Source organism: Homo sapiens, chromosome 5 (assembly GCF_000001405.40).
Source record: "Homo sapiens chromosome 5, GRCh38.p14 Primary Assembly".
NCBI classification, from domain to species: Eukaryota; Metazoa; Chordata; class Mammalia; order Primates; family Hominidae; genus Homo; species Homo sapiens.
Genome location: NC_000005.10, coordinates 597740 through 624887, shown reverse-complemented (window position 1 = coordinate 624887; position 27148 = coordinate 597740). Strand labels below are relative to the sequence as shown.

General features: G+C 53.7%; 1 protein-coding gene and 2 long non-coding RNA genes across 16 annotated transcripts in view, besides 5 other annotated features; 1 reads left to right on the top strand and 2 right to left on the bottom strand.

Moving 5' to 3' along the window:
* CEP72 (centrosomal protein 72) overlaps positions 1–12548 on the bottom strand; it is a 64277-nt gene extending 51729 nt beyond the window's left edge. For 6 of the 11 annotated variants that reach the window (XM_047417363.1, XM_047417364.1, XM_047417365.1 and 3 more), the window contains exons 1-4: positions 12445–12548; positions 5771–5898; positions 4627–4819; positions 309–417 (exon numbers count right to left, since the gene is read on the bottom strand). In XM_047417363.1, the coding sequence (XP_047273319.1) occupies positions 309–417; positions 4627–4819; positions 5771–5898; positions 12445–12526 (512 nt within the window). In that variant the 5' untranslated portion in view covers positions 12527–12548. Of the gene's footprint in view, positions 1–308; positions 418–4626; positions 4820–5770; positions 5899–7038; positions 7060–10206; positions 10336–12286 lie in introns of those variants that run through there. The other 5 variants (NR_164122.1, XM_005248322.4, XM_011514064.3 and 2 more) reach the window with 5 other exon arrangements.
* Positions 5113–6312: an enhancer, noted in NCBI's record as "CDK7 strongly-dependent group 2 enhancer chr5:618691-619890 (GRCh37/hg19 assembly coordinates)". NCBI's record gives its function as "activates an origin of replication core promoter dependent on BRD2, BRD4, P300/CBP, MED14 and CDK7 cofactors, with strong dependence on CDK7, by STARR-seq in HCT116 cells {active_cell/tissue: HCT116}" and the evidence as "EXISTENCE:reporter gene assay evidence [ECO:0000049][PMID:35650434]".
* Positions 11765–12694: an enhancer, noted in NCBI's record as "H3K27ac-H3K4me1 hESC enhancer chr5:612309-613238 (GRCh37/hg19 assembly coordinates)". NCBI's record gives its function as "activates a minimal SCP1, AML or CMV promoter by ChIP-STARR-seq in primed H9 embryonic stem cells {active_cell/tissue: H9 hESC(primed)}" and the evidence as "EXISTENCE:reporter gene assay evidence [ECO:0000049][PMID:30033119]".
* CEP72-DT (CEP72 divergent transcript) lies at positions 12678–22719 on the top strand. Its single transcript, NR_103444.1, has 3 exons — positions 12678–12736; positions 13135–13441; positions 22044–22719. It is a non-coding gene; the product is annotated as a CEP72 divergent transcript (long non-coding RNA).
* Positions 12695–13625: an enhancer, noted in NCBI's record as "H3K27ac-H3K4me1 hESC enhancer chr5:611378-612308 (GRCh37/hg19 assembly coordinates)". NCBI's record gives its function as "activates a minimal SCP1, AML or CMV promoter by ChIP-STARR-seq in primed H9 embryonic stem cells {active_cell/tissue: H9 hESC(primed)}" and the evidence as "EXISTENCE:reporter gene assay evidence [ECO:0000049][PMID:30033119]".
* On the bottom strand, positions 17278–24097 carry LOC105374608 (uncharacterized). 4 transcript variants are annotated; one of them, XR_007058672.1, is made up of 8 exons: positions 23721–24097; positions 23378–23572; positions 20720–20871; positions 20248–20525; positions 19673–19743; positions 19028–19075; positions 18595–18809; positions 17278–17823 (listed from the first exon to the last, which is right to left on the bottom strand). It is a non-coding gene; the product is annotated as an uncharacterized LOC105374608 (long non-coding RNA). The 4 variants fall into 4 exon arrangements; XR_007058674.1 differs by lacking the exon at positions 23721–24097 and having other exon boundaries at positions 17278–17728; positions 23378–23621; XR_007058673.1 differs by lacking the exons at positions 19028–19075; positions 23721–24097 and having other exon boundaries at positions 23378–23621.
* Positions 21126–21626: an enhancer, noted in NCBI's record as "H3K4me1 hESC enhancer chr5:603377-603877 (GRCh37/hg19 assembly coordinates)". NCBI's record gives its function as "activates a minimal SCP1, AML or CMV promoter by ChIP-STARR-seq in naive H9 embryonic stem cells {active_cell/tissue: H9 hESC(naive)}" and the evidence as "EXISTENCE:reporter gene assay evidence [ECO:0000049][PMID:30033119]".
* Positions 21627–22127: an enhancer, noted in NCBI's record as "H3K4me1 hESC enhancer chr5:602876-603376 (GRCh37/hg19 assembly coordinates)". NCBI's record gives its function as "activates a minimal SCP1, AML or CMV promoter by ChIP-STARR-seq in naive H9 embryonic stem cells {active_cell/tissue: H9 hESC(naive)}" and the evidence as "EXISTENCE:reporter gene assay evidence [ECO:0000049][PMID:30033119]".
* Positions 24098–27148: the final 3051 nt, after the last annotated feature.

The following is a 27148-nucleotide window of genomic DNA, read 5'->3' as shown; positions in this document are numbered from 1 at the left end:
GCAGCCACAGACGTGAGAGCTGCCAGCCCCGGGAAAGGGACAGGACAAGCCCTTTGCTGAGTTGATTTTACACATATTACCTTAATCAACAGTTTCGATATTAAAAATAACTCCTAGGAATGTGGAGAACAGGAGAGAGGCCCCGTCCCACTGTCCACGGAGTCCCCGCCAGGCAGGCTCTGCCCTTCCTCCCTCCTGGTGTCCGCCCCTGGAGAGTGACCGGCACACAGTGAATGACGTTCGGTTAATCCTCCTGACAGCAGGCCAGTCAGAAACACTCTGGGTGTCCGTAGCACTTCCGTTCATACCTGCCCTCTTTCAAAGAAGCTGGGACGCTCTCTTTGGAGTCGAGTGAGTCCTCTGATGCAAAATGCAGTCGGGAAGCCTTCCGCTCGCTTGCTCTCACGGGGCGATCGTCTAGAAGAAAAGGCCACACAAGACTGTGCAGGTGGCAAGCGGCGGGCGGCTGCATCCACCCTGGGGCATCTACACGGGGCAGGGTGTCCATCCCCTCGGGGCCAGCCCTGCTCCCACTAACCTAGCACCGGAATGCTGGGCTCTGGTGGTCCCACAGCTTCCCGGCGATGCCCAGCGTGGTGCTGAGGCCGCCTGTCCCTCAGAGCTCACTGCTGCGCACGGGAGCAGCCGCACACAGATGAGGCTCACACACACACACGCACACCCTTTCTCTAAAGTGCACACCGGGTGCGGGGTGGGATTCTCAAGTCACACTCAGGTAACCCAGAGAAGCCTCCACGGAGGGAGCCTGCCCGGCCCGAGAGGCTGCAACTTCCAGGAGGCCTTTTGGGTCTGTGCTTAGGGCTGGGCCTCAGGGACGTGCGTACCTGGGGCCACCAGGCTCCCACCCAAGAACTCCTGGAGCTTCCTCATGTAAATCCCTGAAGATAAGAAGGTCCCCAGGCCTTCAACCTTGGCGCTTTGGAACTTACAACACATCTTAACCCCCATTTGTAATGTGAATTCTGTGACAAGTTCCCACGCTGCCTCCATTTAGCCTACAGCACGCCCCAAAAACTACAGAATCACTGTAAGAAATGAGTGAGTAATAGCATAATATAATGTTCAAAGCAGAAAAACGGAGGAGTTCTGATAATCACACAAAGATGCCGAGTCAGAGGCCTCTGCAACCTGGGGCACTCTCCACCCAGCACACAGGGCACCCTCAGGAGACACGTGCGCCAGGAGACCTGCACCCAATCCCACCCTCCCGCAACCTTTCCACCCCGGCCTTCACCAGCCCCGCACTAACGACGCATAGCTCTCTGCCCACCAAGACTCGCTTCCCTTCTGAGTCAGTTCCAAATCCCGTACTCCAAGAACATTTCTCTGGACTGTTGTGTAAATTCTAATGCAGCATGTCCGAAGCCAACTGCAAACTCACCTTCACCCCAAGCCCACCCTCTCCTGCTGGCAAGGTCTCTCCAGACGCCGCCTCCATCCCACACGCAGGCCCTTGCTATCTGCCTCCTCCACCACCGGGGCCTTTCCATGACCCACGCGGAGCCAAGGACCGAGCCCACTCCAGGAGGCACCACGCAGGGCAGCAGGCCGTCCCGGGGCCCCGCACCTCCGTGGTTCCCGCAGCGCCTCTGACTGCCAGCGCCACTGCAGGAAGCATCTCTCACATGCGGGGAGACGGTTGTGCTCCTTCTCTGTAGAAACACTAAGAGGGGAGACGGTCGCGCTCCTTCTCTGCAGAAACACTAAGAGGGAGACGGCTGCGCTCCTTCTCTGCAGAAACTCTCTGCAGAAACACTAAGAGGGAGACGGTCGCGCTCCTTCTCTGCAGAAACACTAAGAGGGAGACGGCCGCGCTCCTTCTCTACAGAAACACTAAGAGGGGAGACGGCTGCGCTCCTTCTCTGCAGAAACACTAAGATTCTGAATCTAAAACTTGGATTACAGAGGCAATGATTTAGAACTGAAGACTCCAAAAATTACCTAGAATAAGGACTGTAGCTCCTGAAACAGCCAAACTCAACTGTTTATGAGTTACTTGGTTAATTGGCCAAATAAACACTATAAAACAGGCGCCTATTCCTCCCAAACCTCTTATAATTAAACAGCGAAATCCTAATTGGGTTTGGAAACAGACACTGTGTCTTGGGGGGGTCCATTGTTAATGTCCACGGCCCCATCCCAGGGGGAAGAGTGTCAGGCACAGCAGCCAGGCTCTCAGGTGGCCAGCACCACGCATGCACGCCGCATGCTCCCAAGGAGGCGCTCCTCGCTGCCAAGAGCTGCAGCACAGAGCTCTATCCACACTGCTCAGGCTCTGGAAGCCCAGCCGCAGGGCCTGTCCAGGGCCCAGCACTTGCCACATGAGTGGGTGAGCCAGGGTCTTCCCTGTCAGTGATGCTGGGAGCTAGGTCTCACTTTGGCCACACAGACGCCCTGAGTGCCTCCCAGCCCTTGCAGAGCAGCAAATGCCACCCCAGTTGCTGCCCTCCCATCCGATGCTGCCACTGCCAACTGCCAGCCCCCAGTGCCCAGGGGAGCTGAGCTCCTGCAAGAGCAAAGTCCACCAGGACCCAGGGATACTGTCAGCTCCTCAAGTCACTTTTAGAAGGTCAGAGAAAAATTGTTTTGATCGTTAGTTACTGAAAAATGGTCAAACTGTGGCAGACTGGGGCATTCTTCCAAGAGGACTCCTTTAAACAGATTTCAATCCATACCACTAACCTACACTGTCACCAAACAGAGGGTGTGTGTGCTGCATGCTGACAGCTCTTTCCAGCATCTCCAGAAACTTCTCCAAGTAGCAAAGCAGTGCAGTTTAAAATGTTAGAATTTGGCCAGGCTCAGTGGCCCACGCCTGTATTCCCAGCACTTTGGGAGGCCAGAGTGGGCAGATGACTTGAGGCCAGGAGTTCGAAACCAGCCTGGCCAACATGGCAAAACCCTATCTCTACTAAAAAGACACAAATTAGCAGGGCACAGTGGCACGCACCTGTAATCTCAGCTACTTGGGAGGCTGCGGCAGGAGTATTGCTTGAACCCGGGAGGCGGAGGTTGCAGTGAGCTAAGATCACGCCACTGCACTCCAGCCTGGGCGATGAAGCGAGACTATGTCTCAAAAATAAAATAAAATGTGAGAATTCCATATACAAACACATGTGTGATCACATCACCATCAAGATACCGCAGGCCAGTCCTCCCTGTGATGAGGTGACACGGCCCCGCATGGCTCCACGATGGCCCCAGACAGCCTTCCCGGTCTACTCGCTGAGGCGCTTAGGTGCTCCTCCACCTGTTTTCCCACCTCTGGTGTGCAGCTTTGCTGACGTCACACGAACTTCATGGGGCTGACAGGGTGAGGGCTGCCGGGTGTTCATCTGGTGGGTGGCAAAACCCCAGCTGGCCCTCAGTCCCGACGCCCACAACGGGCAGTACCCAGGGGCCAGGCACATCACCCACCAACGTGCTTTAGCTGCTGTTTACTTGAAATTGACATACAAATCTCAGTTCTCTAAGAGAACCTGAATGCTCCCCACAGCCGTGGAAAACAGCCTGTTCAGGGCACTCGCAGTGGGGGAAAGTGCTCTGTCCTCTGTGATTCTGTTGGTCTTTTGTTCTAACAAGATAGTTGGGATTCTGTGATTCTTTTGTTTTTGATAAGGTCCTAGGTTCAGAAGGAGGGGCAGCTTTCGAACAGCGGTGCATGGTAGGTCTGACCCTAACAACAGAAGCAACCAGGGAACGTTTATAGGCCCCTGGCCATGCCGGGCAGTCTGGGAGCTTACAGATATTAACTCAGGTCTCCCCACCACGACATGTCAACACAGCATTCTTATCCCCCCACTTCACACAGGAGGACTGAGGTAAGAGACCCTGCACCCTCTTCTTCCCCATGGACTCTGGTCAGTGTGCCCCTGGGCTGAGGCCCCAGCTTTCTCTCCTGGATCTGTGACTCGGGGTAGGGTCAGCAGAGACACCACCAGGTGCTCACAGCAACAGCAACAGCAACAATGCCTCCGGGGAGGCAGGAGGCAGATGGGAAGGTGACCTGCGGCTGCCCCAACCCAGGGACCCTCCCTACTGGGCATCGCTGTGGGGGCCCTGGAAGTTCTGCCTACAAGACTGTCATGGAAAGCCTTTTCTTTCAGGAGCATGATCCAAAGGTCACTGCACATCCCCTCCCAACCCTGTCCCAGTGGTGGGGTGTGGGGGACAATGAGCTGCTTGTCCTGTGTGCTTCCAAGTGGGGCAAAACCAGGCAGCATCCTGCTGTTTAGCTGCACCTGAGATGATACCTGGGGGCTATGCGAGGAAACAGGACAGGAGATGTTCAGGAACGTGCCCAAGTCCAACAGCCATGACGCGGAGAGCCAGAACAGGACGTAGCAGCCTGGTCCGGGGCTGTGCTCCCACGGCCCCAGCCCTGCGCCCTCCCAGGGTGCTCAACTTCCAGCCCTGTCCTGTGCAGACACAGGGCCTCTCGAGCTGTGTGTCTGCAGGAACTCAAGCCACCAGCGTAGAAAACCAACTCCCCGTTCCAGAAGGAATCAAGCATGTGACGTTGAGCACACAGACACCCACTACGACTCCCCGACTCCCATACCCCACGGGGACAAAAGCATGAGCGTGGCCCTGCCTGATGCCTACCCAGCTGCTGGAGCTTGGGGAGCAGGTGCACAACAAAAAGGCGGTAGTCAGGCTCAACCTTCACCACGGGGTTCAGCCGGAAGTCCACATCCACGAGCTCGGTTAAGGCGTGGAGCCGAAACACTTCTGCCAACGAGGAGATGCAGTTGTAGTAGAGATTGAGACTCTCCAATGCAGTCAGGTACTGAATGCCCTGTCAACAGAAAACACAGTGAATTCATTCACACTTTAAACAAGAAATACACAGTGAAATAAGCCAGCAACACACACTGACCAACCAACTGTATAAACTTATTTGCAATAACTCCATGTCATTACCAGGAAAAGTAGAAAAATGAAACGTTCTCATCTGTGAAGTTCTCTGGGCCCCACGCGGTGAGACGGTCGTTTATGGAACCCACATGTGACGCAACTAAGCACAGCTAATATCTACCGAGGCCTCAGCGTGCAGCAAGCTGAGTGATGTGCACGCACAATTTCATTTAATCCACACGCCGCCCTACAGGGTGAGAACCATCAGCCCCCCCTTCACAGATGAGAAAGCTGAGGCCTGGGAACGGGGAAAGATGAGGCAGCACTGGGTGTAGCCTGGGCTAGGTCCGCATCTGACTTGGAGCAGACTCCCGAGCTGGTGTCAGACGTGGCCTCCATAATGCTCAGGCACCAGGCTCAGGGCAGGCGCATCCCACGGTTCTGTCCGGGCCAATCAGGCCATGCAGACGCAGCCTCCATAATGCTCAGGCATCGGGCTCAGGGCAGGCGCATCCCACGGTTCTGTCAGGGCCAATCAGGCCATGGTAGTTGTGCACAGCTCCCCTCACCACCACCTAGGCATCTCTCTCCAGGGTGACCCTGCCAGGAGCCCAGGAGGCAGCCCCAGGCCCACTGCACTGCCACTCAGTAAGTCTCTGGGGTCTCATTTCATTTCCTTTAAAGATATAATCATCGTCATCAGAGGGCGACAACACAACGTAACGTGATGTGTATGAAATGTAGCCCACGGTAAACACAAAAATACGCAACACAAAGTGTACCGTATACAGATGTAAGCAGAGGGTTACAAAACAGACTCCGTTTCTGCTGTGAATGGACTTTCCACTGATGTTGATAGCAATAAATTTTAAGAAAGAGACCTAAAACTTACCTCCAGACTAACCAAGGAGTTGCGCGAGAGATCCAAAGATTTCAGACCTGTTAAACTCATCAGAGAATGTCCCAGGTGGGTGATCTTCTCTTGGTAAGTTCCAGGAATAGACAATGACTGAAGCTCAGCTAAGAATAGAAAAATTGTAAGATTTTAATCTTTTATTTTGAAAACAATTATAATAACGGTCAAGTTCTTGGTGTTGGATATGGAGTAGAAACTGACACAGATTCTTGGTTTAATTCAACTTTACTCAGGCTCCTGAATCTTCTCCTCGGCCATCTGTGCCCTTCCTTGTAAAGTCCAGTTTAGTGCGGCCAAAACCCCCACCCTCAGTATCTGCTCAGGTTCCTCATCCCCAGATCCCATAGGTGGTGTCTGCTCACCCTGGCCTCTCTTTCGCAATAATCCTGTTCAGTTGGTTTAGCCCAAATCCCCTTACTCCTCATGTGTCCTCTCAGTCATTTTCCATCCACTGCCCCCACCCTGACCCTAGGCTATAAACTCCCCCCGGCCCCTGCTGTACTTGGAGTTGAGCTCCATCTCTCTCCCCCACTGCAAAATCCCAGCGCAGTGGCCCCAGGCCCACCTCAATGGTTCTGAATAAAGCCTTCCTCACTGTGCCTGACAAGGGTCATTCAAAACATTTCTTCCTCTAACAGTATATGTAAAAAGATTGAAAGACAAACTTTAACACATGTGTCCTATTGTGGAATAAATCCCTTTATTTTCCCTCTTACACATTTCTGTATTTTCAGCTTTTCTCAGAGAGATATGTATCCTCGTAATCTGAAAGAGGCACCTAGAACTCAGTGCAACTCCTTTGGAGTTGGAATATCAGCACTGACGAGCAAGGAACGTACCTGAAGTTTCGGCTTATGTTTATCTCTACAATACCTCCAAGCCCACACGCTTCTTCCCACCTTTACTGCCTCTCCCTCCAAAACCGTCTCTCCCCAGGAACACCCCTCTACTTCATCTCCCGCCTCCACTTCTGGCTGCTCAATTCTGTCACCCCTTGCAGCCATCACCATCTGAAACCCACTCGTCGGGTAACCTGTCTGCTGTCCTCCTGTTACAACTGTGGTCGGGCTGTGCAAGCTCCACGCACCCCATAAGCAGTCACTACATCAACATTAATTACAAGATGAAAGTTTCCGTAATCAAAAAGGCAGTTTAGATCCGAATACATCAATACTTTCCTGGGAACATTTATGTTTTAGAATATGTTTTGGTTTTTTTGTTTTTGTTTTCAGATGGAGTCTTACTCTGTTGCCCATGCTGGAGTACCGTGGTGCGATCTCGGCTCACTGCAACCTCCACCTCCTAGGTTCAAGTGATTCTCCCGCCTCAGTCTCCTGAGTAGCTGGGATTACAGGGACACGCCACCACATCCGGCTAAAACCCCACGTTTCCCTGTTTCCTCAGGTAGCCCTCAGGCATCGTCTCAGGTGCAGCTAAACAGCAGGATGCTGCCTGGTTTTGCCCCACTTGGAGGCACACAGACAAGCAGTTCATTGTCCCCCACACCCTGCCACCGGGACAGGGTCAGGAGGGGACAAGGTGCAGTGACCTTTGGCTCATGTTACTGAAAGAAAAGGGTTTCCGTGACAGTCTTGTGGTTTCCTGACCATGTTGGCCAGGCTGGTCTCGAACTCCTGACCTCAGGTGATCCATCCACCTCGGCCTCCCAAGACTACAGGCATGAGCCACCACACCCAACCAGAATATGTTCTGATTAAGTTTAAAATTTGGTTTGAGCTCTTCCAGTTCCAGGCAACATGGAGAGGACACATTTCAACCTGCTCCTCCCGCATATTAGACCCACTGCCCTGGAGGAAAATATACGGAACAAGCATTGGGGGACTGAAAGGAACAGAAGCCAACCAGCCAGGGGCCTCGGCACTCGAGAGAGAACCCAGCGCTGAGTCCCTGGCTTGACTCTGGGGTTTTGTTTATGCTTATTTACTACACATCCCACTCTGGGTGCCACAGAAGTCGGCAGCCCAGAAACACAAAAAGACCAAAAACCGTAAGCCTGCTCTCGATGGCCAAAGGACCAGGAGGGGCCTGGCAGGACAGACTCTCTGTACATCATCAGCCCTCCTGCAACCACACACACTGTTCACATCATCAGCCCTCCTGCAAGCAAACCCCCACCCACACACACAACAACACATACACACACGCACACACCCCTCGTCCACTTGGCACCAGGAGGGGCCTTGCAGGACAGACTCTCTTCACATCATCAGCCCTCCTGCAAGCAAACCCCCACTCGCGCGCACACACACACACACATACACACACACACACACACACCCCTCGTCCACCTGGCCTTGCGCAGCAGCCAGCACCGGGGTGTGAGAATGGATCCTGACTGCTGTCCCGGCCTGGCTAGAACGAGGTGGTGCCCTTCACTCTCCCAGCCAGTAGGGTCTGCCAGAGGCCGTGGGTGAGGCAGGAGCTCCATGACTGTCCCGGCAACAAGGTGGCACCCAGCAGGCTCGAGTGAGGAGTCTTCTCAAGTAAGGGGATTTAAACAGGAAGCAGAGTCTCATGACATCATACCCAGCATGTCCACAATATGATAAAAAATGACCAAGAACCAGAAAAATGGCAATTTGAATGAGAAAACACAGTCAATCAACAGATACCACCAAGAGAGAACACAGAACTTAGGTCTAACAAGGATTTTAAAGTGACTGTCATAAAAAATACTTCAATGAGCAATTACAAACACCTGAGACAAAGGAAAAACTAGTCTTAGCAAAGAAACAGGAGATATAAAGAAGAAACAAATAGAAATTTCAAAGAAAAATACAATAACAAAAAATCACAAGAGCAGTTTAATAGCAAAATGGAGATGACAGATGAAAACTGTAAAACCGTAGAGAAAAACTAAGAGAATCTGTCACAAGCAGACCTGCCCTAAGACAACTGCTGAAAAAATTTTTTCAAATATAAAGGAAAAACGAAAGAAACCTAGAGCATCGTGGAATGAAGAAAAAATAACAGAACAGATAAACATGCAGATAAATATGTTTCCTCCTGAGTTACTGAAAAGGCTAGGTATTTAAAAAAAATCATAATATTAATACGGTTCTCAAGGTATGCAGAGGAAATACTTAAGACAACTAAATTGTAAAGGGGAGAGGATAGAGACCTAAATGGTGATAAAGTTTCTATATTTCACTTAGAAGTAGTAAAATACCTGTACAAGTAAACTGTGTTGAATTACATAAATACATTGTAATTTGTATAGCCACCACTATGAAAACCATACAAGGAGATATACACCAAAACATAACAGATAAATCAAAATGAGATACTAAAAATATTCGAGTAAGTCACAGCAGGCAGGAAAAGGGAAACAGAAGAAAAAACACAGGAAACAATCAAAAAACAATAAAATGGCACACTTAAGTTCTAATATTTAACAATTAGATTAAATGTAAATGGCCTAAAACACTACTACAAGACAGAGATTAGCAGAGTGAATAAAAATAATGAACCAGGAAACTAATTTCAAATATAAAGATACAGGTAGGTTAAAAGTTCAAAGCAATGGATAGGAAAAGATACGCCATGCAAAAACCAATCAAAAGAAGCTACCGTAACAACAGTAATATCAAATAAGACAGATGTCTCAACAAAGAAAATTACCAGGAAAAAAGAGGAACAAGGCCCAGGCACCGTGGCTCACACTTGTAATCCCAGCACTTTGGGAGCCCAGCAGAGATCACCTGAGGTCAGGAGTTCGAGACTAGCCTGGCCAACATGGTGAAACCCCGTCTCTACTAAAAATACAAAAATTAGGCAGGCGTGATGGCAGGCGCCTGTAATCCCAGCTACTCGGGAAGCTGAAGCAGAGGAATCATGTGAACCCGGGAGGCAGAGGTTGCAGTGACCCAAGATCGTGCCACTGCACTCCAGCCTGGGGGACAAGAAGGAAACTCTGTCTCAAAAAAAAAAAAAAAAAAGAGGAAGACTACATATACTAAAAGGGTCAGTCCACTAAGAAGGTATAAAAATCCTAGCTATGTAATTCAACAAACAGAGCTTCAAAACATACAAAGTGAAAAAAAAAACAGACAAATCCACAATTACAGTTAAGGGTTCCAGACCCCTCTCTCAGTCATTAATAGAGTCACTAGACAGAAAATCAGCAAGGATACAGAAGAACTGAACAATATCACCAACCAACAGGATCTAATTGATATTTATGTATTTACATAACACTCCACTCAACAACAGAATACACACACACTCAAGTGCACCTGGAACATTCAACAACATAGACCAGATGCTGGATCATAAAACAAACCCTGACAAATTTAAAAGAATTAAAATCATACAGATTATGTTCTGGCCATAATGGAATCACACAGAAAAATAACAGGAAAATATCCACACATGGAACGTTAAAAACATACTCCTTAAAAATCCACAGGTCAGGCCGGGCGCGGTGGATCATGCCTGTAATCCCAGCACTTTGGGAGGCCGAGGTGGGCGGATCATGAGGTCAGGAGTTCCAGCTACTCGGGAGGCTGAGGCAGGAGAATGGCATGAACCCAGGAGGCAGAGCTTTCAATGAGCCAAGATTGCGTCACTGCACTCCAGCCTGGGTGACAGAGCGAGACTCCACCTCAAAAAAAAAAAAAAAAAAAAAATTCACAGGTCAAACAGGAAGTATCGAGGGAAATTCTTAAAATACGCTGAACTGGATGAAAATTAAAATACAACATAACAAAATTTGTGGATACAGCTAAAGCAGTGCTTACAGGGAAACTTGTGGCACTGTTTATAATAGAAAATAGGAAAGTCTCAAATCAATAATCTACAGTTTTGCCTCAAGGATTTAGAAAAGTATAAAATAAATGCAAAGCAAGCAGAAAGAAGGAAATAAAAAAAAGCAGAAATCAATGAAATTTGAAACTAGAAAAACACTGGAGAAAAATCAAACCCAAAGTCGGTTCTTTGAAACTATCAATAACATTCACAAGCCTCTAGCAAGACTAAAAAAGAAAGAATACACAGATTATCAACATCAGGAACAGAAAAGGGATATCCCTGTAAACCTTGTAGCACTAATCAGGGAAGAAGGGAGGACTCGGCATGTCCCGAGGTCAGCTGCCCTCTCACCTGCTTCCTCAGAGCCCTGTGGTGCCTACTGCCTCAGGATCACTTGGATTTTGTCACGAGGTTACAGTTCCCCTTAACCACTCTACAGATAATAACCTGGACATTATAAACCGTTAAGTTTTCCATTTGAGATATTCTTTCAGGACCTGGGGACTGATGCCAGCTGGTCTAAAGGGCCCCGCAAGCGGATTCACCAAAGAATGCAGTTTCCACACCCTGATAATTCCATGGCCCTTACCTCCACCAACTGACAACACCAATCTTCCAGCTCCTCACAGTCCTGTTCCTCTAAAACCCCCAGCTCAGGCTGGGTGTAGGTGGCTCATGCCTGTAATCCCAGCACTTTGGGAGGCCAAGGCAGGTGGATCACCTGAGATCAGGAGTTCAAGACCAGCCTGGCCAACATGGTGAAACCCCGTCTCTACTAAAAATATAAAAAATTAGCCGGGCATGGTGGCGCGTGCTTGTAATCCCAGCTACTCAGGAGGCTGAGTGAATCACTTGAACCTGGGAGGTGGAGGTTGCAGTGAGCTGAGATTGTGCCACTGCACTCCAACCTGGACGACAGAGTGAGACTCCGTCTAAAAAAAAAAAACCGCTCAGATCTCCTTGGGGAGATGGATTGAGGCCTCCTTCCACCTCCCTGCTGGGCCCCTGCCAGCCTTAAACTCTTTCTCTGCTGCAAACCCCACTGTCTCAGTGTATTGGCCTGTGGCCCCCACAGCACCTGACTGAACCTGTTGGTCCAGTAACACCTGCAGACCACACACAGACATTAACAGGCTAACAACAGAACACCAGAAACAACTCAACACACACACTCCACAAGTTAGCTCAAATAAGCCAATGCCACAAAACCCCACACAGCCAAGACTCGCGGTGAACTAATATGAACGGTTCTCTAACAACCAGAGATACAGAATTTGTCATTTAAAAGCTTCAAAAACAGAAATTGACATGTCCATATGGTTTCACTGGAAAATTCCAGGAAACATTCAAACAATGAGCACACACTCTACAGAACCTCTTCTAAATATAAGAGAAGGCAACACTTCTCAGCAGTTTATGAGCTCGGCTTCACCTTGACGCCAAAACCAGACAAAAATAAGCCAAAAAGAAGGAAACCGGCCACCAACATCCTCAAGAAGGCCGAGCGCAACAATCACCACAGAGTGGGCCCAGGAGAACCAGGGAGGTGATCCCCAGCGGGAGGGCGGGCTGCGCTCCTGGACAGCAAGGCCGGCTCCCTCTTCTCAGCGGATGTAACCCCCAGTCACGGAACCAGTGACCCGATAGACAGGCAGGGGCCGGGACGCCGGGACCCGAACGCGGGCAGGGGCCGCACCTGGGCACGGGGGGTGGGTCGCTCACCTGGACACGCGCGCCCCGCTCGCCCGCGACCGTTCCGGACGCCCGCGGCGCCTGCGTAGACGGGTCCCGCCTGCCCACGGTCCGCCGCCGCCCCGGGAAGCTCGGCACCCACCCCCCCGCCACCTCACGCTTGCACCCCCGCCCGCCCTCCGGCGCACCCAGGTCGCGGTGAGGCCCTAAGCCGCTCTTCGCCCGAACCGCCTCCTCGCTCAGCACCAGCCGAGGGCCAGCCCGCGCCATGTTTCAAACGGAGCCCTCGGACGGCGCCTGCGCGGCGGGCGGGGCGAGGCTACGAGAGGGGCGGGACCTGCGTCGGCAGAACCGAGAGCCTGGCGGGACGGGGCGGGGCCTGCGCGGCGGGGCGAGGGGCGTGGCTGGGGGAGGGGGCGGGACTGCGTGGGCGGAACCAAGAGCCTGGCGGGGGGTTCTCCTGAATGGCGGTTCTCCCAGGTACTGGCCACGCGACCCCAGCCCCCGCCCCAGATAGCTCCCTGTCAAGGCTTCCCTGGGCGCGGCCGCCTTCTAGGCCCCGGCCCTTGACACACGCGGTGTCCTCCCGGGGAAACCCCGAGTAGGCGCGGTGGAATCGCGGCTGGTGGTGGGCATGGGGACCCTGCCCCATCCACACTCCGCTCCCACCCTGAACCCAGCGCCCCCGGGGACCCCCGACTCACCTAGACTCCCCACCCAACCCGACCCCCCCGCGGGGACCCCTCCAGACACCCCAGCACCCGCCCGGAGCCTTGTCTGCTGCACCTCCCGTCCAGCCCCGGGCCTCCCAGAGGTGGGCGGGAGCTGAGCTTCTCCCCAGCCAGTCACTCCCCACGGCCGGTCCTTCTCCACCCCAGAACCTCCAGAGATGTCACAGGCCCAGCACTGTGGCTCGTGGCTGACCGCGCCCTGGAGGGTCTCGCTGTGTTTATCCTTGTGAGGTCCTTCTACAGAGCTTTCAAGGAAGACAGAGTTCAGCCTGTTTATTGGGAAGACTTTAATCCTGCTCAAGACATCTACTGTGTCACCGTACCACTGTGGCCCAGCGCCTGGTGGAGTGAATCCAGACCCCCAGGGGTGTCCCCTCCCCGCCTTTCTCCTGGTGTCTAGGGGCACCCAGAAACCCTCACCCCAGATTAGACCAGCTCGTTGGCAACATCCCTGGTATGTCACAGCCTGGGGGGTGATAGACAAGGCAGGGTAGTGGTGGGGGGTACGTATGGTGGTAGTAGACGAGGGTATACACAGACAGAGGGTGTACATGGGGAATGTGTGCAGGGGCTGTGTGCAGGGAGTGTGTGTGGATGGTGTAGGGGAGTGTGTAGGGGAGTGTGTAGGGGGTGTGTGCAGAGGTTGTACACGGGGTGTGCAGGAGGTGTACTCAGAATGTGTTCAGGGAGTGTGTGCAGAAGGTGTACATGGGGTGTATGCAGGAGGAGTGTGCAGAGGGTGTACATGTAGGGGGTGTGTGCAGACAGTATACAGAAGGGGTGTGTGCAGAGGATGCACACAGGGTCTCTGCAGGGAGTATGTGCAGTGCTGTACATAAGGAGTATGCAGGGGGTATATACAGGGTGTATGTGCAAGGGGTGTGTGCAACAGTGTGTGCAGGAGGTGTGTGCAGGGTCTATGTGTGGGGGTGTGTGCAACAGTGTGTGCAGGAGGTGTGTGCAGGAGGTGTGTGCAGGAGCTATGTGTGGGGGTGTGTGCAACAGTATGTGCAGAGGTGTGTGTAGGGGCTATGTGTGGGGGTGTGTGCAACAGTGTGTGCAGGAGGTGTGTGCAGGAGGTGTGTGCAACAGTGTGCAGGGGGTGTACACAAGGTGTGTGCAGGAGGTGTGTGTAGATGTGTGTGCAGGAGGTATACACAGGGTTTGTGCAGAGGATGTGTGTGGGAGGTGTGTGCAGGGGATCTGTGCAGGGAGTGTACACAGGCTGTGTGCAGAGGCTATGTGCAGGGGGTGTGTGCAACAGTGTGCAGGGAGTGTACACAAGGTGTGTGCAGGAGGTGTGTGCAGAGGTGTGTGCAGGAGGTATACATGGTGTGTGAAGGTATGTGTAGAGGTGTGTGCAGGGGGTATACACAGGGTTTGTGCAGAGGATGTGTGAGGGAGTTGTGTGCAGGGGATCTGTGCAGGGAGTGTACACAGGCTGTGTGCAGGGGGTATGTGCAACAGTGTGCAGGGGGGGTGTGTGCAGAGGTGTGTGCAGGGGGTGTACACAGAGGGTGGTGGCAGGCGGTGGATGCAAGGCTGCATCTGTTCAGCCCAAGACGTTCCATTGGTCCAGTGGTGTTAGAGCACATTTGGTCAGGTTGCCTTCATGGGATATTTGACAAGCTGCAAACCCGAGGGCATGCTGGTGCCCGAGGGCGCCTCCGTGCTGACCTCAGCATGTGCAGCAAGAGCCAGGGCACAGGGGCGGCCTGGCCCATTTCAGGCAGGTGCTCTGTGGGAGGGTGGCTGTCTCCACTGACAACCCAGGGAGGTCAGCAAGGAGGAGCCCTGAGGTGGACTCGAAAGCTGTGGGAGCTGATGGCCCTCCTGGTCTCTGCCACAGCCCTTAGGCTGTGGGACACACAGCGTCACATTTGATCACTGTTCATGGGGCCTGCCGAACACTCAGCATTCCTGAGTGCAGATCGTCACGTAACTTTCCAAAAATTGCAAACCCAGATATGGCTCCATGACCCCTCCTGCAAGACTGTGAAGGAGTTCAGGGCACAGCTGAGCCCTCACACCCCCAGCCCCATCACTGCCCCTGATATGCACTGAGTGGAATTCTGTCCCGCCAGGAGACAAACAGTGGACAGCATCCTGGCTCTTCAGAAGCACATGACGATGGCAAACTGAAGGCCTCATGGGCCCTCACCCAACAGCAGTGGCTTTTCAGGGCATAACACAGGCCCCAAACACTGAGCCTCTTCCTCCTGGGCAGGTACCCAGCTGGCCAGACAGGGCAGGGTAGGGGCGAGTGGGACCTCAGTGGGCAGCCGGTCCAGGACAGAACCACACGGGGATGTGATGGAAGTACCAATGGGAACTTTGAAAACAATGCCTCTGCTCACCAAAGTATCCCAGCTTCACTGTAGAAAATATAGACACTACAGAAGGGCACCGAGATTCGATATGCCGCCCTGCTGAGATAACCCACACTAACATGCCCACATGTATCCTGCAGGTGTTTTTCAAGCCTGTGCGTATTGACAGTCATGAGGCTATGCTAAGCATTGCCGGATGCATCTGCCACTAAGTAGTCTTTAACGTTGTTTATTAAACACTTTTAATGGTCACGTTAGATCATAAACCAAACCCAACTTTATTATCCTGTCTTCTGCTGCTGAAAGTTGTGTCTGTCTCCACTTCCTCACGGTGCTCACTCTGGTTGGCCAAATCATGAAGATCCATGGAGGCGCGGGAGCCTTCCGGCCTGGAATGGGGCAGCAAAAGCACAGAGCCGCAGAGAAGCCGGGAAAGCAAAGGCAGGGGCTGCTGGGCTGGGCCCCATCAGCCCCATGGCAGCGGCACCCGCACAGGCCTGGGGTCCCCAGCAGCAGGGATGCTGTCTGTGGGCCCAGGGCTCCTCCACAGCTTTGGGGGCTTCCTGCCAGAGGAGGGGGGTGGTTCTCCTGGGAGGGGCCCCAAGACAGGAGTCCCCAGACCTGGGCACGCCTCACCTCGGGTAGGGCCCCAACGCTTCAGCGGGTCTCACTGGCATCCCTAAACCTAGACCACAGGAGAGTGTGCTGTGCCATCATCACGATGACCCCTCCCCATCCCAGCGCACGCTCCCACGACGCACCGTGCTCACAGTGACCCCTCCCCATCCCAGCGCACGCTCCCACAATGTGCCGGGATCACAGTGACCCCATGGGCTACCTGCCGCTCCCAAGGACTAATGGAGGCCTCTGTCCCCAGGTTCTATCCCGGGTTCCTCACAGGGCACCAGCCCTCAGGCCCAGTTAAATTCCGGAGCGGCTCTTTAAGCCCACAGGCCCAGGCCGCTATGGTAGGACCCAGGTGGGAGAGGCTCTCCGTGTGCTGTCTCCCTGACAGGTGCCCCATCCATAGCTTTCTAGAACATCCCAGGGAGGCTCCCAGGCCCCGAGCCTCAATCCTCAAGCCTGTGGGTCCCAGACTGCAGGCTCAGTGAGCCCTACAGAGACCAGGCCAGCGGAAGGAAACAGGGAGACCCACATGGTCAGAGAAGAGGGCTGGAGGTTCAGCCTGAGGGGCCTCTGGGCTTTCTCTAAACAGAGCGGGGGTGGGAGGAGGCTGTGATGTACAGTGAGGGGACTTGAGAGGGAAATGGGGGCCTCCACCCACCCCAGGGACGAGCGCTCACCCCAGGCCCACCTGGCTCGCAGCATCCAAGCCAGGGCTACGCAGAGCAGCTGCTCCCAAACCCAGCTCCCTCTGGGTGCCTGAGCCAGGCTCAGAGATGCATCCTGCATCGTTCTTTCTCCATCCTGTGTCAACAAGACAACACAGGCAACCAGCGTGGCCATGCTGGAAATCCACAGCCTAGCGGAGCGGCCTCGCCTGCATTCATGTGGCCAGTGGAATTCGCGGCACACACATTCGCACTGTCACGCTCAGTTCACGTGTGCACACGCTCACAGCCACAGCACACTCACAGTTCACACACCTCACACGCATACATACACAGGTGTACGTGCACATGCACACTCACGTACACACCCACCCACACACAGTCTCACACCCAGGTTCACACCCACACATGGACCTCAATCCACCGGTACCTGCCACACACCCACACGCGGACCTCCATCCCACTCCAAGGCCTTTCCCCACATCCCCGGGCGGCAGGAGCCCAGCGGTCAGTGCAGAGGCATGGACGAGGGCCAGGGAGGCAGGTGGCACGAGCCACCTGCTCTCCACATCCTTCTCGAGAGGAAAGGAGGTGCCGGCCCACCCTGCCCACAGCTCCTCGGCGAAGCCGCGTCTGGTCCAGGGCCAGCCGCCCCTTTGCTGGTTTCAGTTCCTCCTTTATCCATTCATAAACGTTGAACAAAAGCGCTCTTTTCCCTCACGGTATCTCTAGCAGTTAAGATCAACACCAATATTTGAGAACTGTCAATACTGCATTTTACCCACTTCCCAAATGTGAAACCGGAAGGCACACGTAGCCCTTGCTGGGCTGTTTCCAGTGAACACAGTTGAGGGTGGGCTTGGGGGTTCTCCGCATCGTAATGTCTTAGGAGGGGGTGGGGCCACACCTTCCCACCTTGTCCGAGTAACAGGCCACGTGTGCGGTTTAGTTCACACCGTGGAGGAGGGGAGTGTGAGGGCAGCGGGTGGGCCGCTGTGTCCTGGTCTCTGTCCTGCTGTGTGGCCAGGGAGGGAGTGCGGCTGTCCGATTTAGGTTGAAACACCGTCCATCGGCATCTCTGGGGGATGTTGCCACTGCCCTTGACTCCTGCCCTTGTGTCTGGAAAGGGGAGGCTTCAGAGTGAGTGGCCCACAGCCTTCCAGTTGCAGGAGCTGGTGTGGGAAGGGGCATCCCCATGGCTGTGGGCCGGAGCCCTGTAATAATGGGAAGTTTCAGTGCCCTCATAGGAGTTTCACTGGAGCAGGTAAATCGGTCTGGGAGCTTGTGAACCGCTCTGGGCTGCTGGGGCTGCACTGACAACAAGCACAGAGCCCAGCTACAAGTGGCGTGGCTGCAGGAGACGCCCTGGAGACCTGAGACAGGCTGGGTGTCTCTGCTGTCCCAGGACAGAACCCAGCTACAAGTGGCGTGGCTGCAGGAGACACCCAGGAGCCCCCAGGCAGGGTGGGCGGCTCTGCTATCCCAGGACTGGGTCAGGACAGCTCAGCCCTCGCAGTCCTCAGCCAAGTGCTGCCCCGCTCTGCAAGGGGCCCAGAGGGCTCCCAGAGGCCTGCGGACCAGTGCTAGGCCTCACATCCCTGAACCACTCCCTGACCTCACATCCCTGAACACATGCAGGGGCCGGGCCTCAGCTGGGGGGCATGGCACTGGGTGAGGTCAGAGGTGCTCCAAGCATGTGGCCTAGAAGGTTTGTCCAAAACAAATTCTCTCCTGGACCCTGGAGGGGAAGCAGAAGCCGGCTGCTTCCTATAGTTCCCAACACCAGAAAGCCCAGGACTTCTCAGGGAAATCTTGGTTTCCAGCTTTTTCCGAAAGTGCCTGATGGGCAGGCATTCACTCCTTTCAGACAAGCCCCCCAGCCCTTCAGCCACTGAGCCGTGACCCTCTCCCCAGGAAGGACTGGTGGGGCTGGGGCACTGCCACCACCTGGAGCCCCATCTTCAGCCGCCTGGCAGGAGCTGCACCTGCACATGGCACCCGTGAACTCCGGCATCTTCCTCTGTCCTCCCAGGCACTCGGCATCTTCCAGGGCTGCTGCCTCCTGAGCCCACTCGATATGGTTTAGATGTTTGTCCCCACAGATCTCATGTTGAAATGTAATCACCAGTGCTGGAGGTGGGGGCTGGTAGGAGGTGTTTGGATCACAGGAGTGGGTCCTTCCTGAATGGCGTGGGTCATCCTGTTGGTGATAAGTGAGTTCTCACTCTGGTAGATCTGGTAGTTTAAAAGTGTGTGGTGGCTGGGCGCAGTGGCTCACACCTGTAATCCCAGCACTTTGGGTGACTGAGGAGGGTGGATCACTTGAGGTCAGGAGTTCAAGACCAGCCTGGCCAACATGGTGAAACCCTGTCTCTACTAAAAACACAAAAATAATTAGCTGGGTGTGGTGGTGCGCACCTGTTATCCCAGCTGCTTGGGAGGCTGAGGCAGGAGAATTGCTTGAACCTGGGAGACAGAGGTTGCAGTGAGCTGAGATTACGCCACTGCACTCCAGCCTGGGCGACAGAGTGAGACTCCATCTCAATTAAAAAAAAAAAAAGTGTGAGGCGCCTCCCCCTTCTGACTTGCCCCCCTCTCACAGCCCCCCTCTCACAATGTGAGGTGCCTCCCCCTCTGACTTGCCCCTCTCTCACAGCCCGCCTCTCACAATGTGAGGCGCCTCCCCCCTCTGGCTTGCTCTCCTCTCACAATGTGAAGCGCCTCCCCCCTCTGACTTGCTCTCCTCTCACAATGTGAGGCACCTCCCCCCTCTGGCTTGCTCTCCTCTCACAATGTGAGGCGCCTCCCCGCTCTGGCTTGCTCTCCTCTCACAATGTGAGGCGCCTCCCCCCTCTGGCTTGCTCTCCTCTCACAATGTGAGGCGCCTCCCCCCTCTGGCTTGCTCTCCTCTCACAATGTGAGGCGCCTCCCCCTCTGACTTGCTCTCCTCTCACAATGTGAGGTGCCTCCTCCCTCTGACTTGCTCTCCTCTCACAATGTGAGGTGCCTCCTCCCTCTGACTTGCCCCCCTCTTAAAGTGTCATGTATCTGCTCCCCCTTTACCTTCCACCACAACTGGAAGCTTCCTGAGGCCTCATCAGAAGCAGATCCTGGCACTACACTTCATGTACGGCCTACAAAACCATGAGCCAATTAACCCTCTTTTCTTTATAAATTACCCAGTCTCAGGTTTTCTTTATAGCAATGCAAGAACAGCCTAGTACACCACCTCTGCCTCTCTTTCCGCCATCTGCTGTTAAAAGCAGGCTGATCAGGACCAGGGGCCAGCATCAGATATAACCTGGCATCCCCTGCAAAGTCCCAGGCTTCCCCCACTATGGCTTGGGGACCTGCAGCTGCTTGCTCCTCATCTCTGAGGCTTCGGGGAGCCCAGAGCTCAGAGTCCCTTAGGGCCAGGGCAGAGTGTGGCCTGGGGGCCACCAGCCTCAGGAAGCCCAAGGCCTCCTCCAAGCAGGAGTTCTCTCAGAGCCAGAGCTGCCCCACCCCATATGGCCCAGTGACCATCACTCAAAGCTCACCTTCTCCTTGAGCCTCTGGTCAGCCGACCAGCCCTGACTGCTCCCGGGCCCCTGGCCCCTGGCCACGTCCCCCCTCCTGCCCCTGCACCCCATGCTGACCAAGCTCCACCGCCTCAACCCCGCAGGATCCAGCACTGCTCTCCACTGCCGCTGGGTGCATTCCGTCGGGCAAAGCTTTGTTGCATGAGGCCGGGGCTCAGCATCACAGCCTCTCTGTCGGTTCCTGCAGGCAGTGGACATGGTGGGTCCCCACTGTGAGGAGCCCAGCCTCTGGGGGCCCAGACGCAGGTTTCTGGCTGGGCACACACTGGGGTGAGCAGGCTCCCTGGCTGTGAGGCCGTGAGCAAGCCCATCTCCGAACTCCAGTTTTCTCATCCCTAAAAATTAAAAATAAGAAGGCCCTCAAGGGGACTGGCAGTTCCCAGCCCTCTTGGGCCTTGCCCATTTCTGGTGTAGAGGATGGAGCCATCTCTTACAGCTCGGGTTGGTGAGAAGCAAGCATGAGGCTACGGTGGCATTTTCAGGTAAAGTTTAGATTTTCCAGAAGAAGAAACGTGTAAGTGGCACATACCCTGTCCCCCTTCTCCTTTGCGCTGAACAAAGTTGTGATGTCTGAAACTGCAGCAGCCGCCTTGGGATGATGAGGGCAAAGAAAATTGGCATCACTGGGGTCCCCAACCCGGGCTCCAAACCAAGGTCACTGCTGCTAGGACTAGACTGTGGCTAAGAGAAAGAAAACACAACAGCTGAGTGACTGTTGCACCCAATGCCTTCCTGTGGACCCTGGCATCTGCCGAGGTGGCGGGCAGAGCTTAGGTGGCGCGGGCACAGCTTAGGTGGCACAGGCACGTGTGCAGGTGCCCGTAACAAGGCCTGGAAGGAGGCTGTGCCTGCCCAGCGGAGGGACCCCCTTTCTCTGTGGGGAGATAGAGCCCCGGGAGGGGGCAGGAGCTGGAGCATGGGAGTGGCTGGGGCTGCGGAGGGGAGCTCTGGAGGACCCCACCTTCCCAGGGCTAGGACAGAGGGAGCCGGCTGCTGGGGACGTCCCTCCATCTGCTCAGACAGAGGGAGCTGGCTGCTAGGGACGTCCCTCCGTCTGTTTGGACACAGGGAGCTGGCTGCTGGGGACGTCCCTCCGTCTGCTCGGACAGAGGGAGCTGGCTGCTGGGGACGTCCCTCCGTCTGCCTGGTGTCCAGCCTGGCCTGAGTCCAGGTCCGAGCAGTCTGTGTGGATGAAGGAGCGGGTTGGGATGGGGAATAAACAAAAGCCTGAAATGTAATCAGCCGGCTTCGCAGCTATGGCGAGCGGGCAGGCCTCCTGCATCCTGGTAGTCAGCACTGAGCCCGCTGGAGCCAGCCTTGTCCTCAGAGGCAGCACCGGGAGAATGCAGTGCAGGTGACAGGGGACCTTTGCTGCCCAGAGGCATGTGGTCTATTGGCTGCACGTTTGTGCTCCTGCAGGAGTCACGGGTGGAACCCCAACCCCAGTGCTGCGGTGTGTGGAGTGGGGTCCTCCCAGTGGGATCAGTGCCCTCATAGGAGAGGGCTGCCCTCCCCTTTCTCTGTCGCACCGGGAAACCAGGAAGGGCCCTCACTAGGAGGCCAGTCAGCTGGTGCCAGGATCTCCGGCTTCCACCCCAGAGTGGTGGGAGCTTCCTGTGTCTGCTGCTCAACAAACCTATGTCTGCTGCTCGGGTTGCCCGTGTGTGGTTTTCTGCTATGGCCACCTGAGCTGATTAAGACCTCCCCCAAAATCTGTGCAAAACCCCAGCGCTTCGAATGTCACCTCTGAGGCAAAAGCTGTGATAAACATAGGGATCTTAAGAGGTGCTTTTCCTGGGTTATCGGGGGGTGGGGCCTGGGGGTCTAAATGCATTCACCAATGTCCTTCTAAGAGACAGAAGAGAGACACAGAGAGAAGAGGCACAGAGGAGCCGGCCATGGAGCGATACAGCAGAAGCTGGAGGCGACGGGAGGATCCTGGCCCAGAGCCTCGGGAGGGAGTGGGGGCCGTGTTCCAGAAGCCTGAGAGTCCTGCGTGTTGTTCTGAGCCCCTAAGGCTGGGGTAGCTTGTTCCAGCAGTCATGGGAAACTGACACATCCCAAACACAGCAGCACGAGAACATAGGACTGAGACACCATCCCCATCACGCCCCAACACACGAAGACTGACGGTGGCGGGTGCTGCACATCTCAGCCGGAGCTCTGAAGGCATTTAGCTGAGCGCTGGCCTGCACCTGGAGAGAGTGAGAGACACCAGCCTCCACTGCCAGGAAGGCCCAGGGTCCTCAGGGACCAAGACGCAGGAGACGGCCGCTGCCAGGGTCCTCGGGACTTCTGTGTGGCCTTCGCTACCGGAGCCCTGAGGCGCCATCCCCATGTGCCCTTCGGGCTGGTCCAGGAGGAGGCCCTGCGGCGGCCACAGACTGGGGGGACAAAGCCCCAGGAACTCAGAACCTTGTGGGTTTTGGAAGAGGAGCCGCGCAGCAAGGTCCCGACGCCTGCAGGGAGCTGAACGGGGAGCCGCGCGAGGAAGGGAGTGCAGCAGACCCAGTACGCAAATGCTGACCCTACAAAACGCACCGCGGGTTCTCGAGCCGTGGGGATCCCGGCGGTGCTCTCCAGAGACCGCAGCTGCAGGAGCTGGGCGGTCCCCGGCAGGTGCCACGAGGGTGCGATCTCGGCCGAGAACCACCAGGCGTCCACGTCCACGGAGGGACTCATTCTCCGTGCCCATCTCACAGGGAGCAAAGGAGGCGGAGGGAGCCCCGGACTCACTGGGTTCTGACCCAGACCCTTCTCTTCTGCAGGGTGGAGTCCTCCTCCCAGAGAAGCCCAGACGTTCGTTTGGGAGACCCAGGGACACTCGGGGCCATCACCTGCCCCTCACTGGGGCTCCCAGGGGAGACTTCACGCAGTGCCCAGTGTCCTCCCGCTGGGATCCTCCTGCCCCCGAGGGGCGCCCGTGTCCCCCAGCACCCCAAGGAAGAGAATGAGCTGTCTTTGGCGGGTGCTGTGCTATTTTCTGTCCTTATTTCACCTAGAATGGCCATTTCCAGAACTCAATCCCTGCAAATGAATTTCTTCTAACGCCCCTTTTCAGTATCAAGGAGCAGGAAGCAATATCCTTTAAAAACCGATCGGCCATACATTTCTGCTCATTAAATAAATATTTTTACTTTGGACCCGATTGATTTTTCAGACACACGGAACAATGGGACTGACTCACCTGTGTGCAGCTGGGAGCCTCCTTCCTCCCCGGGGACCTTTGAAGTCACAGTGAGGCGGCCACACCTGGTGCACAGGTGGAGCCCGGCCGATAGGCACCTGAATTCTCACCAACTTCACAGGGTGTTCAGAAACGGGCTCGCACTCGGCCGACACGCCCCCTTCCTGGATCCCTGGGGTGGGATGCCCAGTGTGGCTGCACCGGAGAAAGGGTGAAAACCAGCGGAGAGAGGGCCGGGAAAGGCTCCCCCACAGGCATGTCAAGGAGAGAACCTGCAGTTCCACCACACCCTCCAGCCCCCTCCCAGGCAATCTCCCCACTCCAGCCCCTGACCCCTGACCACCTTGCTCCTTGGTATCCAGAGCCAGGCCGGAACTCAGGGAGGGCCGCGCCGTTCACTTCTGTAAGGGAGCCTCCGTTCAGTCAGTCATTCAACAAACATGAATCCAGAGCCGCATGCACTGCTGGTCCCGTCCCAGCTGCTGGTCACGGAGCGGAGAAAGCTTGAAGGCCGTGGTGTCTACTGAGAGGCAGATGACAAACCAGGAGCACGAGTCACAGCACACACTGGCGCAGCTGCAGGGAGCTGGGCAGAGCCGGGCCTGGCACATGGGGCAGGAGGCTGTGGCCCTAACGCCATGGTGGGCGCCACAGACCTTGTCAGAAGGGGTCTGAGCAGAGACATTGATTTGGTTTCATTATCATATAGAACAGAATAGAAAACTCAGACATGAAGCTGCACACATACACCCGTCTGGTCTTTGACAAGACCAACGAAAACAAGCCGCGGGGAAAGGACTCCCTGTCCGATAGATGGTGCTGGGATAAGCAGCTCAGTCACAGGCAGAAGAAGGAAACTGGACTCTTACCCTTCCGCATAGACGAAAATCAACTCTAGATGGATTAAAGACTCAAATGCAAGACGTCAAACTATAAACATCCTGGAAGACAACGTCTTCTTGACGTTGGCGTTGGCAAAGAACGCTGGCTAAGTCCTCAAAAGCAATTGCAACAAAAACAAAAATAGACAAGTGATACCTAATTAAACTGAAGAGCTTCTGCACAGCAGAAGAAACTGCCAACGGAGGAAACAGACACCCTACAGAATGGGAGAAAATGTCTGCAAACTATGCATCTGACAAAGGCCTAATATCCAGCATCTATAGGACGCTTACACAAATCAACAAGCAAAAAACAACCCCATTAAAAAATGGGCGGCCGGGCGCGGTGGCTCATGCCTGTAATCCGAGCACTTCGGGAAGCTGAGGCGGGCGGATCACAAGGTCAGGAGATCGAGACCATCCTGGCTAACACGGTGAAACTCCGTCTCTACTAAAAAATATTAAAAAATTAGCTGGGCGTGGTGGTGGCCGCCTGTAGTCCCAGCTACTCGGGAGGCTGAGGCAGGAGAATGGCGTGAACCAGGGAGGAGGAGCTTGCAGTGAGCCGAGATTGCGCCACTGCACTCCAGCGTGGGCTACAGAGTGAAACTCTGTCTCAAAAAAAAAAAAAAAAAGGCAAAGGACATGAACAGATACTTCTCAAAACAAGACATACAAGTGACCAACAAGTATAAGAAAAAATTCTCATTATCAGAGAAATGCAAATCAAAACCACAATGAGATGCCAGCTCAGCAGTCAGAATGGCGATTATTACAAAGTCAAAAAAACAACAGATGCTGGTGAAGCTGAAGAAAAAAGGTGATGCTCACGCACTGCTGGTGGGAACATAAATTAGCCCAGGCCCGTGGAGAGCAGTCTGGAGATTCCTCAAAGATCTTAAAACACAGCTACCATTCAACCTAGCAATCCCATTACTGGGTATATACCCAAAAGAAAATAAAGGATTCTGCCAAAAGGACACATATGTTCATCACAGCGTTATTCACGATAGCAAGACATGGAACAAACCTAGGTGCCCATCAGTGGTGGACTACATAAAGAAAACGTGGTACATATACACTGTGGAATACTACGTAGCCATAAAAAGAATGGAATCGTGTCCTTTGCAGCAACATGGATGCAGCTGGAGGCCATTCTCGTAAGCAAATTAATGCAGGAGCAAAAAACCAAATACCGCATGTTCTTACTTACAAGTGGGAGCTAAACATTGAGGACACGTGGACAAAAAGATGGGAACAAAAGTCACTGGGGCCTCCTGGAGGGTTGGGGATGGAGGATTAAAGAACTTCCTTCAGGTATGATGCTCGCCATCTGGGTGATGGCACCCGTCCTCCAAACCTCAGCATCACACAATATTCTCATGTAACAAATCTGCACGTGTGCCCCTAAATCTAAAATAAAAGTTGAGATTTTAAAAGTAAAGTAAGATAAATGTCATATCAGTTATTCGATCCGTCAAACGTTTCCTTTAACACCTTAAATAGAAACAGTCATAGGTATTGGAAGAATAAAGAATTGGAATGGAAGTCCACAGAGGCAAAATGGGCAAACAATTAACATATGTAAGCAGGTATTTGTTGTTTCTAGTAGGTCTCAATGTTGTTTACACATTTGGTTGGTTGTTTTTGGTGAATATTCACTGGATTCAAGTAAGTGGTTCATTTTCTAATCCCTGGAGTGAAGCCGCTACAAACAGTCGTGTGTAGATTTTCCCGTGAAATAAACTTTCATTTCTCCAGCATGCATGTCCAGGCAGGGGGTTGCTGGATCCCAAGGTAAGCATAGTTGTAACATTAAAATACACTGCCACCTTGTCGTCTGGAGCAGCTGCCGCACGTCACACCCCCAGCAGTGGCACAGGAGAGCCAGGGGCTCCGCGTCCTCGCCAGTGCTGGGTGTGACCACGCGTTTCCTTTTTCCTCGCGCTGTTCTCACAGGTGTGTGGTGGTTCCACACATCAGTGGTGTACATTTTTATTCCCTCGTGGCTGACGATGTCGAGCATCTCGTGTTCTTATCTGCCATCCAAATGTCCTTGGTGAATGAGTTCTTCCCTCTTTTGCCCATTATTCATCTACTCGTGTTGTGTTAAGTGTGTTTGTGTTTCATTCTCTTGGCAGGGCTGTCAGTGGGACTGAGACTTAAACTTCAATTCCCACGTGTTCACTGTTATTAGATAAAAACGCCATTGACACGTGTGTGCCAATCTTGTATCCTGTGACACTGCTGAACTCATGGACTAGTTATAGGTGAGGTTTTTGTGTCTTTTTTGGTAAATTCCTTGGAATGTTCTACATAAACAATTATGCTCTCTGTAAATAGAGATGGTTTTCTTTCTCCCTTTCTTGTCTGAATGCCTTTTATTTCCTTCTCTTGCTTTATTGCACTAGCTGGGACTTTCAGGATGATGTTGGCAAGGATGGGAGTGGGGACCGCCTATCCTCATTCCAGATTTTAGGGAGGAAGTATCCAGTTTTTCACCACTATGTGCGACGTCATCTGTGGGTTTTTAATGGATACATTCCATCCGGTTAAGGAAGTTCCTCACTGCTCCTAGTTTGCTGAGACTTTTTCCATGAATGATTCTTGAATTTTGACATTGTTTTTTGCGTCATTTGAGATGATCGTGTGTGTTTTCTTCTTTGGTCTGTCAATACAGTGGAGAGTGCTGATTGAATTTCAGATGTTTAGCCAGCCTTGCATGCTACTGTCACAATTTATACATTTGCATCTATGTTCATGGGAGATATTTGTACGTAGTTTTGTTTCTTGTACTGTCATTTATCTGGCATTGGCACTGGAGTAATGCTGTTTTCATAACATGAGTAGGAAAGCATTTCTCTTCTATTTTCTGGAGGAGATTGTGCAG